The sequence below is a fragment of the Homo sapiens genome, chromosome 17 (assembly GCF_000001405.40).
Source record: "Homo sapiens chromosome 17, GRCh38.p14 Primary Assembly".
NCBI lineage: Eukaryota > Metazoa > Chordata > Mammalia > Primates > Hominidae > Homo > Homo sapiens.
In genome coordinates this window covers 9184758-9200208 of record NC_000017.11, presented here as the reverse complement: position 1 = coordinate 9200208, position 15451 = coordinate 9184758, and the positions used below count along the sequence as shown (strand labels likewise).

General features: G+C 49.3%; 1 protein-coding gene across 3 annotated transcripts in view, besides 1 other annotated feature; it reads right to left on the bottom strand.

Annotated features, from left to right (window-relative positions):
- Positions 1 to 15451, bottom strand: part of NTN1 (netrin 1) — a 240914-nt gene that overhangs the window by 43792 nt on the left and 181671 nt on the right. The window lies entirely within an intron of this gene.
- Positions 3402 to 4323: an enhancer, noted in NCBI's record as "H3K4me1 hESC enhancer chr17:9099203-9100124 (GRCh37/hg19 assembly coordinates)". NCBI's record gives its function as "activates a minimal SCP1, AML or CMV promoter by ChIP-STARR-seq in naive H9 embryonic stem cells {active_cell/tissue: H9 hESC(naive)}" and the evidence as "EXISTENCE:reporter gene assay evidence [ECO:0000049][PMID:30033119]".

Sequence of the window (15451 nt, the reverse complement as noted above, 5' to 3'; positions counted from 1 at the left end):
AGCGAGAGCCAACAGTGGACACAGACTAGAACTGCTGTCAGCACTGAAGGGTGATTCAGCTGAGCTGAGCAGGGCTCCCTGGGAAGGTCATGAAAGAAGGATGCTTGTAGTCCTGTAACGTCCACCCGGCTGGTTGGCTAGCCGGTTAGCTTGGCTGGTTAAGCCAATGCCAATGAGGTCATGCCTTGGAACCCAATGTTGCCTTTGCTTAGCTTGCCTACAACCCAAATCTAGGCAGCTGTTGGGCAGAATGCACACCCTGGGGCTAAGACTGGGCTAAACTACTTCCTACAAACACACACAAAGCTCCTCAAAGCTCACCACCACTTCCTGATGCCAAAATGGCAACATCATGATGACAGGTGGCCGCAGATGTCCCTGAAGTCAGCAGAGTGATCAAAGAAGATCTACAGTGAAGACTATATGTTGTTACCAAACACTACTCCATTCCCCGCCCAACCAGGCAGATAGACTACATTACCCAGCGACCCCCTTGTAGTTGGGGTGGTCATGTGACTGAGTCTTGGCCAATGGGACACATGTACAAGTGATCCTCAACACTTTCAGGCCCAGTCCATAGGTTTCCCAAGAGCTCCCAATGTTCTCTTTCCCTGACTGTGGCTGGATGCAGAGAAACCCACAATGACAGGCCCTAGAAGATGGCAGAGCCATGTGATGAAAGGGGCCTGGGCCCCTGACTCACTGCTTGGAAGGGAGCCACCCATCCAGGGCTGTGATGGACTGTGGTATAAAGTAAGAAATAGCAGGGCCGGGTGCAATGGCTCATGCCTGTAATCCCAGCACTTTGGGAGGCTGAGGTGGGTGGATCATTTGAGGTCAGGACTTCAAGACCAGCCTGGCCAACATGTTGAAACTCCATCTCTACTAAAAATACAAAATTAGCTGGGCGTGGTGGTGGGTGCCTGTAATCCCAGCTACTTGGGAGGCTGAGGCAGGAGAATTGCTTGAACCCAGGAAGCGGAGGTTGCAATGAGCCGAGATTGTGCCACTGCACTCCAGCCTGGGCAACAAGAGCGAAACACTGTCTCAAACAAACAAACAAAAAGAAAGAAAGAAAAAGAAATAGCTGGACTATACTATCTGAGCTGTTTGTTACAGCACATAATCTTCCCTGACCAATACAGGGTTGTGAGAAGTAGAGAAAGAGTTTGAATTAGGACAATAGTGGGTGCAGCCGTGGTGGTATGCCTGTTATCTTGTCCCAAGGGGCCCAAGTCACTGTTCCCCAGCTTCTAACAGGAGCTGGTAGTGGGTACCAGGAATGGAGCTCAATGGTGCCTCCCACACATATGGCCTCCCTCGTAGGTGAAAGCGGTTAGTCCTTTGTCTGTCAGAGCTGTTTTGGAAGTCTCTCTGGGAGGTCTACATGTGATCTTCCCAGCAAAAGGTCAGATACAGTACTTAGGGATCTGTAGGATCCACAGCTGAGCCTGAACTCCTGGGCTGTGATTCTCTCGCTCCAGTTCCCCTTGGTCTCTGGTCTTCTAGAGAAGAGATGTGAGAGATATCAGTAAGACTGTCATTACTGAGACCAGCTGGACACAGGAGGGAGGACATGGGACCTCAGAGAATAACCACCAGGTTTTTCTACAGTGTAGGGCTCTTGGAGAGTGGACAAAACAGAAACCCACAGATGGTCCCCAGATTCCAGTAAAACTTCCCTTCCCACCAAATCACCTACCAAGTATAGCAGAGGTGGCTGGAGCCCCGCCCAGAGCCCCTTGACTGGACCTGTGCACCCAGCTGCACGCAGCTCACACTTGCACCCTTCTCTGAATGTTTGCCCTTGACGGATGGACACTGCTTTCCCTGGAGATATCCGGGAGGTTATAGGTGCCCTTGCCCATGTAACATAGCCAATGGCTGACTGACTTGGGCAGGTATCACTGCCCAGCCCTTTTGCCTGTAAATATGACAACTTCTTGGATATGATTCCCAAGCTCCCGCGTGATCAGGCTGAGGCTAGACTTCCACTGCAGCCTTGTGTTTTCCCAGTTTCTTCCCCTGCACTCTCGTGCTTCCCTCATGCCCTTACTGGTTTCTCCTGAAAGCACCCCCTCAATAAATCACCCACACAAGAATCCCTGTCTCGGGCCCCCTGAGGTTCTGGGGAGAATTAAAGCCAAAGACAGCAGGGCCCCGATAACCTGGGTGGATGGCTGGCATCCCACCCACAGCCATCAACTAGCCTCAAAGAAGAAGAGGGAAGGGTAAGTCCAGGACAATCCCAAAAGGTCACCACCTTCTTGGAGGCTTCTCTGGTGAAGATAGAAGCTACTGTGAAGGTATCTTGGACCATGGGAAGATTTTTAGATGCTGAAGTGCAACTTCCTAATCCTTGGGCTGAAGGAGGTGGCCTCGTAGGACAGAAGGAAGGCTGGTCCAGGAGACTAGGGCAGGGGAAGAGGGAGGCTGGTAGATGCCTAGCCCAGCTTCAGCCTGAAGAAAATCTTGAAGCAGTCTTCTCTAAAACCCATTTCCCCTTCCATGAATTTCTTTTCTTTTTCTTCCTTCTTTTTTTTTTTTTTTGGACAGAGTCTTGCTCTGTCACCCAGGCCGGAGTGCAGTGCTGTGATCTCAGCTCACTGCAACCTCCACCTCCTCTGTTCAAGTGTTTCTCGTGCCTCAGCCTCCCAAGTAGCTGGGACTACAGGTGCCCTCCACCACGCCTGGCTAATTTTTTATATTTTTAGTAGAGACAGGGTTTCGCCATGTTGGCCAGGCTGGTCTCGAACTCCTGACCTCAGATGATCTGCCCACCTTGGCCTCCCAAAGTGCTGGGATTACAGGTGTGAGCCACCACGCCTGGCCCACGTCATGAATTTCTAATCCCTCTTCAGGAGGAGGAAGCTTTGCTAAGCCTCTGTGTCACTCCATAGCTTCCTGCTTGAAAGGATGGTCTACTTGAAGGACCGTGGTAAAGTGGAAATACCGGTTCTGCCATTGACTCACTGCATGACCTAAGACAAGCCACTGTCCTCCTCTGGGCCTCAGTCTCCCCATCTGTCAGATGTGCAGGCCCGATCGGATGACCTATCTCTAGGTTCCTTCTGGTATTGAGAGCCTGAATTTCACTCTCAGGATGCCTTTTGGACAATGCTGTGCTGAGGAATGTCTGACAACTGGCTCTCTGGGGAACTAAAAAAAAAAAATGCTTTGATTTTACCATTTGTCAACTTCCGAAGTGTAAATATTCCCACCATGGCCAATTTCAAACTCCCAGCAGGACACCCTGAATGCAGAATTGGGAAGAGATGCACAGTCGGCCCTCGTGAGCCAGTGGGAGCAGGTGTGAACAGGTGTGAGCCGGCTCCAACACCACCAAGTTTCACATGCCTCTCTGTGCAAATAATTTCAGATCTCTGCTTCATTCCTGATCTCTACAAATAGAAGGCTTTCTCCTTTCCTTAATCCCACAATACACTGTACTCAAGCAGAGACCACAAAACTGTGCAAATGACACTTGTCACACTCTTCTCTAGGAAGGCACTGACCTCTCTGGAGGGGGGAATGGGGAGGGGCAATGCCCCACTGGCCGCCTCCCTCCTAGACACCAATCTACTGCCCTTACTGAAGCCTGAAGCCCTGCCCTGGATGGCAAAGACAAGGTCCATGAACCATGCCCCAGGGCAGAGGCAGGAGACTTGCATTGTGTGGCCGCACAAACAGCTTTAGGAGCAGAGGGAGAGAGCTGCCGAGAGGAAAATCCTGCTCAGCAGGAGGTGGGGCTGGGGACAGTCTGAGCATAATCACGACAGCCACAGGAGGCGGCAGCTGGTAGCCTCCCTGCCACACCACCACTGTGCTGCTCCTTCCAACTCTGAGGGTCTATGTCCACAAGAGCAAGGCTGCCTGGCGACTGCCTAAACAATGTCCCCACCAATCCATTCTCCTCTTTTCTTTCCTACCCTAGGGTTGAGCACCCTCCTTGGTGCAAATTCCCCACAATTTCTTCAACACAGCCCTGAAAGAACCTCCCAGGCAGCCCCCCATTGCCCGGGTGCTGTGCCCCAGAACACGAGGCTGGCTCTGCACCCCAGGCCCTGCCCAGCTGCTGGCAGCACAGGGGAGGACAGCAGATGGGGTCTGGTGGCCAAAGTGGCCTCCAAAGCAGGCCTTCCCAGGCCCCAGCGATTTTGAGCTGAGAAGGGGCCAAATGTATCCTTTAGCCCAGCTCCTTCATTTCACCGAGAAGACTGGCTCCAGGACTAACAAATGGCTTGCAGAATGCTTTAGCTAGAGTGGGGTGAAATACTCAAAACCCATGATCTCCAGTAAAGGATTGCAGTGATGGTTGTTATTATTTCTTTAAGTCTGGAGCAGTTTTAGATCTGGCAGGGTATTTAAGTAATTAGAGGGACCACTGTGGGTCCTGCTCTGGGGCTGGAGGGGGGCTTTCCTCACCCCAGTTCAGTGGCTGTGAAGATTCTGCCAGGCGAGCCCGCTGCAATAGGGGCAGGAGAGTCTGTACGCTGAGGGCCTCAGGCCAGGTGTGACCCAGTTGCTACAAGTCCCCTCCCACCACAGCCCAGGACCTGTACAGGAATCTGCAAGGGGTTTCAGGCCGAGCTCTGAGCCTGGGCCACCTGGGGGTTCTCTGCATCCACCCCTGCCTCAGCCTAGCTCCACAGCCTGCACTGCCCCACCCCTGCCAGCCTCTGCCAGCAAGGTCGCTGTGACAGCTGTGTGACATGGAGGTGGGTCCAAGGACTCCCATCCTCTCTCTCCCTGACACCTGTCACTTGTCCCGTTCCCATCAGCCATGCTCCTTGATCCCCCAGTGGGAAGAGCTCCCAAGAAGGGCTAAATATTCCGCCCCCACTTGCTCCTCTGGCCTCCCAGCTCATCCCTTTATCCTCCTCGAGGCTGGTGGCAGCTCCACCTGCAAAGGCCCAGAGACAGGGGAACAATGGGGCTCCTGAAACCCACCATGCAAATGGCTTCTCTGTGCTCCTTGGGGTGATGGAGGCCCAGGGTGGAGGGGTGGAGGGGTGGTAGAGCTCGCCTGGCCCTGTTCACCCCCAGCCTGACCTCTGCCCCAGCCCTTTGTGCAGGTCCCGAAAAGGAGAAAGAGGGGAAAAGGACGAGGGGGTGGGGAAGAGGCCAGGGAAAATGAGGGAATGAGGAAGGTGGGGGTAGGGGGTGTAGGAGAGAGAGAGGGAGACAGACAGCAGAGAGTGAGAAAGAAGAGAGGGGAAACTGACTTGTGCAGGCTGCTCAGAAGCAGGTTCTCCTGGCCAAGGGGAAGTAAATGTTAAGCTGAACTCTAGGAAATTGCCATTTTTGTGGGTCTGAAATGGTCACATACAGCAGCAATTCCGCACGGTTTGACCTAATACACACGGGATGTCTGATCTCAAGGCGGAGGGGCAATGAGCAGGTCCCCCCACTAGAAGAGTCCCACGGCCCCTTGGCTTGGGCTCTGGCTTTCTTTCCTGGACCAGAGTTCTAGCAACCTGGGCTGATGTCAGAAAATCTGGGTCTGATCCAGTGGTTCTTAGCCAGAGGCTCCTCTGTCCCCCAAGGGACACTTAATTATCACAACTGGCCAGAGGGTAGGTGCTGGCATCCAGTAGGAAGAGGCCAGGGATGCTGCTTCACATCCTACAGTGCACAGGGCAGCTGCCACCTCAAAGAGATCTCCAGCCCCCAGGTCGACAGTGCTGAGACTGAGAATCCCACGGTTTAAACACCTGAAATAACTGCTGAATGTCTTTCCGTTTCCACACCCTCTGACCCCACCACTCACTCCACGAAGCCACAGGACTGGACGTGGCAGTGCCTCTTCTTTAACGGTAGGTGAAGTTAACAGTGACAGCATGTACCACACAGGGAACACTTTCCATCTTACATTGCCACTTTGCATCCTCGAAAGCAGCCCAGGAATGGCACCCAGATGCATTTCTAAATAGAGTCCTTCATATATCACAACATTGCATAATTTTTTTTTTTGAGACAGAGTCTGGCTCTATTGCCCAGGCTGGAGTGCAGTGGCACAATCTTGGCTCACTGCAACCTCCACCTCCTGGGTTCAAGCGATTCTCCTGCCTCAGCCTCCCAAGTAGCTAGGATTACAGGTGCCTGCCACCATGTCCAGCTGATTTTTGTATTTTTAGTAGAGATGGGGTTTCACTATGTTGGCCAGGCTGGTCTCAAACTCCTGACCTCCAGTGATCTGCCCACCTTGGCCTCCCAAAGTGCTGGGATTACAGGCGTGAGCCTCTGCGCCCAACCTGCATAATGTTTTTTTTTTTTTTTTTTTTTTTTAGTCGGAGTTTCACTCTTGTCGCCCAGGCTGGAGTACAATGGCACCATCTTGGATCACTGCAACCTCTACCTCCAGGTTCAAGTGATTCTCCTGCCTCAGCCTCCCAAGTAGCTGGGGTTACAGGCATGCGCCACCATGCCCAGCTAATTTTGTATTTTTACTAGAGACGGGGTTTCTCCATGTTGGTCAGGCTGGTCTCAAACTCCCGACCTCAGGTGATCCACCTGCCTCAGCCTCCCAAAGTGCTGGGATTACAGGCGTGAGCCACCGTGCCCAGCCGCATAATGTTTTAATAATTAAACCAGCGAGCAAAACAGCTGTGAGGAGACATTTGGGGGAGAACCAAGAAGTGCTGAATATGGACTATGTATCAAATGATATTAAGAAATGCATTGTTAATTTTGTGAGGTATAATAATGACATTGAGATGTTCTCAGTTTTTGGAGGTGTATTCCAAAATATTTAGGGCTGAAATGTCATAACGTCTAAACTTCTTTACAAATATTTTAACAGAAAAGGTAGTTGAAACAAATACCGCAAAATGTGAATTCCTAAGTCTGGGTGATGAGAATGTAACTGTCCCCCATGCTTTTCTCCCTACTTCTCAACATTTTTCAAAATAAAAAGTTTATAATGAGTTGAATCACATTAATTCAGAATATACTAATGTATAGTACAAATTGGAATTTGGGGTACATTTCACTTTAGGTTGTGCTAAGTTTTACCATGGAAAAATGACCAGGCACATAAAAGCTCAGTCCTTTTTTAACATGGTCACATGGGAAATGTGGCTGACTTGAGGAAACGGCTTTTTTTTCTTTTTCTTTTTTTTTTTTTTTTGAGACAGAGTCTCACTCTGTCGCCCAGGCTGGAGTGCAGTGGCATGATCCTGGCTCACTGCAACCTCCGCCTCCAGGGTTCAAGTGATTCTCCTGCCTCAGCCTCCTGCGTAGCTGGGACTACAGGCGCGTGCCACCATGCCCAGCTAATTTTTTATTTTTAGTAGAGACGGGGTTTCACCATGTTGGCCAGGCTGGTCTTGAACTCCTGACCTCAGGTGATCTGCCTGCCTCGGCCTCCCAAAGCGCTGGGATTACAGGCGTGAGCCACCGCGCCCGGCCGAGGAAACAGCTTTCTAAACCGTCAGCTGCATTCAGTTCAGCATGGTGCATAACTAATAAAAGAGCCGGGTTTGTCTCCCGGTGCTGCCCCAGCTCTCCTTAATGCTTTTGGAGAGAATGTGTGGGTTTTATTCTGTATAACGGGAGTTCTCACCCTTGGCACCATCACCATTTGGGGCCAGGTACTTCTCTGTTGCGTGAGCTGTCCTGCGTAACACAAGATACTTGGCTGCATCCCTGGCCTCTACCCACTAGATGCCAGCGACACCCTCCCCAACCCAAAATATCTCCAGACATACAATAGCCCCTGATTGAGAACCACTGAAATCTACAAACAGAAAGAAACTAAGCGAAATGCTCCTGTACAGCAGTCTTTCCACCGATATGGCTAATTCTTCAGGTGTAATGTGTTGTGTCACTTGTTTTTGTCACCTGGCACTATATTTTATCTTTCCATTTAGATATTCTCCCCACATCATTATATGGCTATCCCATTGCTGAGTAACTCAAGCTGTACTCAAAGACACGTAGGTTGTGTCTCTCTTTTGTTATTATAAGCAATGCTGCAATATTCATCTCTGTAGCTAAATTTTGGCACACATTGCTATTTCCTTTGGCTAAATTCCTAGAATTGAACTGATGGGGTCATGGATACCTTTTGATACACAATGCCAAATTACCCTTCATAAAAGTGGCACCAGGTTACCCTCCCACCACCAGAGTAGGTGGGTACCTGCTTCCCCAACCCTTTTCAACACAGAGAATAATTACTTTTTATTTTCCAAACAGTGTCACTCTAATCTCTAATACTTTTTTTTTTTTTTGAGACAGGGTCTCGCTCTGTCACCCACGCTGCCGTGCAGTGGCGTGATAGCTGGGACTACAGGCATGTGCCAACACCCCTGGATTTTTTTTTTTTTTTTTTTTTTTTTTAGTAGCGATAAGGTCTCATTATGTTGCCCAGACTGGTCTTGAACTTCTGGACTCAAGAGATCCTCCCCCGTTGGCCTCCCAAAGTGCTGGGATCACAGGCATGAGCCACATGCTCCATCCCTAATAAGCTTTTAAAAGAGTATTCTTGTTAATTTTTTATTACTAGTAAGTTTAATGCTTCCTATGCATATTGCCATTTGTACAAATTCTCTAAATTTCTAGTTCACTTTTTTAGCCTGATTTCATATTAGGATATCTCTCTTATTGAACTGTAAAAGTTCTTTATTATTGAGGACATTAATCTTTTTGGTCAACCATGTCACATATATTTTTCTCAGCTTTTAGTTTGCCTTTTATTTTGCTTATAGAGATTTCTGAGATACAGAAGTTTTCCACTTATTTTTTGAGATGGAGTTTTGCTCTTGTTGCCCAGGCTGCAGTGCAATGGCACCATCTCGGCTCACCGCAACCTCCGCCTCCCAGGTTCAAGCGATTCTCCTGCCTCAGCCTCCAGAGTAACTGGGATTACAGGCATGCACCACCATGCCCAGCTAATTTTGTATTTTTAGTAGTGACGGGGTTTCACTATGTTGGTCAGGCTGGTCTTGAACTCCTGACCTCAGATGATCCGCCTGCCTCGGCCTCCCAAAGTGCTGGGATTAAAGGCGTGAGCCACCACGCCCGGCTCCGCTTATTATTTATTCAAAATCTTTCCTTTTATGCTTTTTGACATTTGTGTCATGTCTAAAAGGCCTTCCTCACATCAATATTACATTGATATTCATATATATTTTATTCTAGAACATTTAAGGACATATGCTGAAGGTATATAAATCTTTAATCCATTGGTGATATACAGCATATTTTGTTATTATTTTAAAATAAATAGCCGGTTTTCCCAGGACCATTTACTGATTGATTCATTCTTTTCTGCACTGACTCACAGTCACAACTTTACCATATGCTAAGTTCTTATGTTTACATTTGAGTATGTTTCTAGATTTTTTTTTTTTCCAGACACAGTCCTGCTCTGTTGCCCAGGCTGGAGTGCAGTGGCACGATCTCGGCTCACTGCAACCTCCGCTTCCAAGGTTCAAGTGATTCTCGTGCCTCAGCCTCCCAAGTAGCTGGGACTACAGGCGCTCACTACCATGTCCAGCTCATTTTTGTATTTTTAGTAGAGATGGGGTTTCACCATTTTGGCCAGGCTGGTCTCGAAGTCCTGGCCTCAAGTGATCTGCCTACCTCGGCCTCCCAAAGTGCTGGGATTATAGGCGTGAGCCACTGCACCTGGCCTGTTTCTAGACTTTCTACTCAGCATTAGTGATCTCTCTATTCCTACACCAGTACCACACTCATTTAAATAATCCTGTTTACAATATCTTTAAATATCTGGTAGGGCAAATCACCCTCCATTAATCTTCTTTTAAAAAAATTATTGGCAATCCTCACCCATTTATTTTTCTGGCTGAATTTAGGAATCGTGTTTCATGTAATTGGGATTTTGACTAGAATTATGCTAATATACAGATTATTTCTGGGCGAACTGATAGCTTTACAATTTTGGGTCTTGTCTTCTCAGAACGTGGCAAGACCCTCCTTTTCTTCTGTTCTTCATGTTCCTTGGAAAAGTCTTGTTCTTTTCTTTACATATGTGCTGTACTTTATTGCTACATTTATTTCTGTGTTTCATATTTTTACTGGTATTCTAGTTGAGATTTTGTTTCCATTATCATAAAACTGATATGCATTCACTGAGTACTTACTACAGGCCATGCTGACCTTTGTACGTTAATTGTTTAACGGCTCCTTATAGAATTCTCTTATTAGTTCTAACAATCTTCGGCTGATTCTTTGCCAGTGGGGGTTTTGGGTTTCTTTATGCTCACCCATTCTGGGATTAGCTGATTTGTCTGCCCTGTCTCACCCTGGCTACCTTGTGACCCAAGGGTCTGAGCTCTGCTAACTGTTCTCTAGTGCTCACCACCTGTGGCCCTGGTCATGCCAGCTCCATGAGCCAAACAACCACACTCACCAGAACCCCTTTAACTGGCACCTGTAAAAGGCAGTGGCTTTTGACTGGCTGCCCCTCCATGTCTCTTTGGTTTCAGGTCACCCCTCAGTGGATACTTGAGTTTATCTTCTTTCCTAGTAGGATGTTACTACATAGGATTTTTTTTTTTAATTATCTAAAATTGACCAAACAACATAACTTTGGCTGGGCATGGTGGCTCACCCCTGTAATCCCAGCACTTTGAGAGGCTGAGGTGGGCAGATCATGAGGTCAGGAGTTCGAGACCAGCCTGGCCAACATGGTGAAACCCCGTCTCTACTAAAAATACAAAAATTAGCCAGGCGTAGTGGCACGTGCCTATAATCCCAGCTACTCAGGAAGCTGAGGCAGGAGAATTGCTTGAAACAGGAAGGTGGAGGTTGCAGTGAGCTGAGATTGTGCCACTGCACTACAGCCTGGGCGAAAGAGCAAAACTTCGTCTCAAACAAACAAACAAAAACATAACTTCTGTGGGAATGGCATGGTGGCCAACAGCACTCACAGACTCTGCGCCCAGGCAACCACGGCCGGGATCCCAGTGATGCTGCTTGCTAGGGCTCACCCATCTCTCTGTGCCTCAGTTTACTCCTCTGTAAAACAGGGGTCGGGGGGAGATGACAGTACCTAGCTCCATGGGTGGAAGAGATGATTAAATGGTTAATAATGTAGAGCATTTGAAACAGTGCCTAGCACAGAGCAAGCATCTTATGTATATAAATGTTGTCTCCTCCTTCCCTGAGCCAGAATCCATTTATCTTTTATTCTGGGTCTGGTCTAATCTTCTCTCGGGATAACAGTAATCTGATGGTGTGTTAATGACTTCACTGGTCATTTATCTAATGGCTAACCTGGGACAGCCTAACATCCCGCTTCATACCACCCTTTGAAACCAGTGCCTTGGTCAATTACTGGGCCTGTTTACCAGTGGCCTGGGCTGTCTGCACGGTCTCCAGTGATCCCCCCTCCTGTCAGTGGTCTCCTCTGTGGACCCCACAGCTCCCTTTCTCCTATACCAAGAGCACTGAAGCCTCCCTACCTGGGACTCAAGGAACCAGATCCTTCTAAGATGACTCCAAAAGGGGAGAGAGGGTCAGGCTGTGCAGCCAGAACTCGAAGCCATACACCCACAGCTAAAGGGCTGGAAGACGACAGACGACTTCCGCCATCCCCTCCAAAGGTTCCCAGTGAGGCGACAGGAAGACAAGCATGTCCCCCATTGCTGCCTATGCTCCAGTGCCTTGTCTCCAGGACACTCACCCCAGCCCCAGACAAATCAGACTCACTTCACCCTTGGACTCTGACCCAAAGCACTTGACTTTTTTGTTTTTATTTTTTAATTGTGGCAAAATATATATAAGATTTAGCACTCTTTTTTTTTTTTTTTGAGATGGAGTTTTACTCTTATTGCCCAGGCTGGAGTCCAATGGTGTGATCTCAGCTCACTGCAACCTCCACCTCCCAGGTTCAAGCAATTCTCCTGCCTCAGCCTCCCAAGTAGCTGGGATTATAGGCATGCACCACCACATCCAGCTAATTTTGTACTTTTAGTAGAGATGGGGTTTCACCATGTTGGTAAGGCTGGTCTCGAATTCCTGACCTCAGGTGATCTGTCCACCTTGGCCTCCCATAGTGCCGGGATTACAGGCGTGAGCCACTGCACCCAGCCAGATTTAGCATTTTTAAGTGTACAATTCAATGGCATTAAGTCTGTTCACAACATTGTACAACTCATCACCACTATCAAGTTCCAGGACGTTTTCATCACCCAAAAAGGAAAACCTGTACCTATTAAACAGCCGCTGCCCGGCCCCTAGCAACCTCTAATCTGCTTTCTGTCTCTGGATTTGCTTTTGCCGGACATTTCAGATAAATGGAATCATATGATATGCAGCCTTTGGGTCTGGCTTCTTTCAATCAGCATGATGTTTTCAAGGTTCTTCTGTGTTGTAGCACATGTCAGAACTTCATTTCTTTTTTTTTTTGAGATGTGGTCTTAATCTGTCACCCAGGCTTGAGTACAGTGGTGCAATCACGGCTCACTGCAGCCTCAACCTCCTGGGCTCAGGTTACCCTCCCACCTCAGCCTCCTGAGTAGCTGGGACTACAGGTGTGCATCACCATGCCTGGCTAATGTTTTTTTTTTTTTTTTTTTTTTTTTGGAGAGATGAGGTTTCACTATTTTGCACAGGCTGGTCTCAAACTCAAACTCCTGGGCTCAAGCAATCCATCCACCTCAGCCTCCCGAGGTGGTTGGATTATGGGCGTGAGCCACCGCACCTGGCCATTCATTTCTTCTTATGGCTAAATAATAGTCCCTGTATAGATATGCCACATTCTGTGTATCTGTTCATCCGATGATAGACAGGTGAGCTGTTTCCACCTTTTGGCTATCATGAAGTGAAGCTCTTGACCTTTAACTGGTTTCTAGTTCTTACCTCTCTGCTTGGTTCAGGCTCTACCATGAGCTGCTGGAAGGCTGTGACAAGCCCACCATGCAGTTGCCTCAGTTGCTCCCTGCCTCGGGCAGTCCAACTTGTGACTTCCCAAGGTCTTCAAAAGCCCAATCAAGCTGACTCTCCACGCCTGTCCTCACGCCAGCAACTCCCACCCCAATCCCGCCTTTCTGGATGGAGAAGCTGGCTCAACCTCTCATTATACCATGGCATTTGTATTTTTCATGTCAATGTATTGTTTTTTTAATCAAGAACTTTGAACAGTCCCTCCACTGAGTCACAGGCTTTACTGAGATCATCCCATTTAATCCTCACAACAGCCCTAGTGGCAGGGTTGCGATTACCCCATTTCACAAATGAAGAATCCGAGAGAGGGATCAAGTAGCCCTCAGGTGCCCATTTTAGTGCCCTTTTCTCCCTCTTCTCCCTCCCCACAACCCCTCGCTAATGCCGCATTCAAGTCCCATCAACTCATTTTCCTGTATTCACCCAACCTATTCCCTATCTTGGCAAACAAAAGCCTAAACAAGAGAATAATCCATGCTTATCCAGGCTGCAGGTCTACATAAACCCAACTTCCTTCCGTGAAAAAGTGGAGGTGCCGAGAGGCCACCGGAAGTGACTTCTCTAAGGTCAACCCCCACCCCCACCACACAGGCCTGGTAGCACCTGAGTGTGGAGCTTCTCGGAGAGGTTCAGCTGCCGGGCTCTGTGGAGTTTTCCTTTCAGACTACCATCAAGGTAATGTGCAAGGGTGCCCTTGGCAGCCACTCCCACCCCAGGCTGGGGCTGCTGGGGCAGTTAGCCAAAGGTACCAGGTAAGGCCCCGATGGGGTGAGTGCCTCGTGAAGACAGAGTTAGGAGAGAGGACCCGGGATCCCTGTTGGGAGGTGGAGGGAGCCCAGAAGTTGGCTGGCTCCATGCTCCTGTAACCCCAGAGCCCTGGGTCCAGCTTCCACGCAAAGGCAGCTGTGATCCCTCAAACCAAGGAGGCCATCAAAGGCAGCCTTTCTTGCCTCTGGACCTCTTTGCTCTGTTTCTGCTGGAAGGCCCATGGGCAGTGGTGAGGTGGAATCAGCTGCCAAGGGCTCTGAGGGCCAGTCATGCACCTCTCCCAACTTCACATTCAATGACATCTCATTGGGTAGCCAGAAACCAGCCAGGGAGGGAGTATTGACACCAAGGGAAGTGGCAGATGCTACACATTGGCCCCACCTCCTGCCCCAGGCAGTTGCTAAATACTTACCAGCACCTCCGCCCACAGGCCTCTGCCTGGGATGTGGGAGAAGTGGATCCTCAGGGGCGGACCGAGAACAAGCAGGTGCCTCTGAAGAGGAAACCCCAGCAGGAGGAGCTCACTCCTGCCACAGCCAGCCAGGGAGGGAAGGGCCTGTGGAGCACTGGGTCCACCCCTTCATTCTTCCAGAAGGCAGAAAGGAGACGCCATTGCATTGTCCAAGTCCTCAGAGTCAGTGCAGGGCAAACCCCAGGTCTCCTGGCTCCATACCAGACTCCTCCCACCAAACCAAATGGCCACCACAAAACCAAACAAACAATTTGCAAATCAAGAACTCCCCTTGAGTTGATAGGTGGGGAAGGGGTGGTACAGGGAGAGAAGGCAGGTGTCTTTTTTCCTTGAGTGCTGAGGTCTCTACAACCAACAAGTAGGTGAGTGCCAGGGGAGCCTTGGGTACCATGCCCTTTTTGAGTGGGTGGTCCCTCTCTCCTTTCCTCCCTGTTTCCCTCCTGGCCTACCCGGCCCCAGACCCCCACAGACACTACGTTCCTCACCTCCCTGCCCCATGACGGCTTACCAGCTAGCTTTGTGAGCAGGTAAAGAACATTCCCTGAGTGAGCTGGCCCTTCAAGGGGATGAGTTCAGGGGAAGGTTATGTCCATCAGCTTTCAGAACAAATTCTCAGCTTATTAATTCTCCTCTGGTACGCAGGCAAAAGTAAACAAGCTTTTCTCAGGCAGCCTGGCACAGAGGCCTCCCCTATTCAAACACGGCAAGAGTGGACAGGTTTGAGAGCGCTGAGCTCCCGGGCCCCGCTTCCCAGGGGGCCCTCCTGGCCTCCTGCCTGCAATGTCTCAGACGCTGAGACAAGGCATACCCAGCCTCCCTGTGGTAGGAGGCCCCACGGTCCAGCACTTGTGTCCCAGAGATGGCTCCGGTTCTCTGGGGAGAGCATCAGACACCCTGGGCATCCGAGGACCCCCAGAGTAGGGCAGCGCAGGTCTGGTCAAAGCTACAAACATTGCTACAGGCTTCCAACCTGCTCACTCAGCCTCTCTCTGAGGAAGATATTTTATAAGGGTGTTTATTTACTGCTCGCTTCGGTTTAAACCATGCTTTTAAAGGTTCAGAATGAGGAAAGGAAATAAACAGTAACAAAATCAAAAGCAGTCCGAAAAGTTAAACAACTCAAAGAAGACATTTCAAAAAAGGAGGCTGCCAGTGTTTATAAGCGGCTGCTCCGGAATCTTTTGTCTGGCGGAGCCAAGAACCTCGGAAGTTTTATACCAGCTTCTTGTAGCCTATGTAGAAACCTCATGAGATCCCTCCCCTCCACATTTTTCCCCATTTGCCCATTTCTGACTT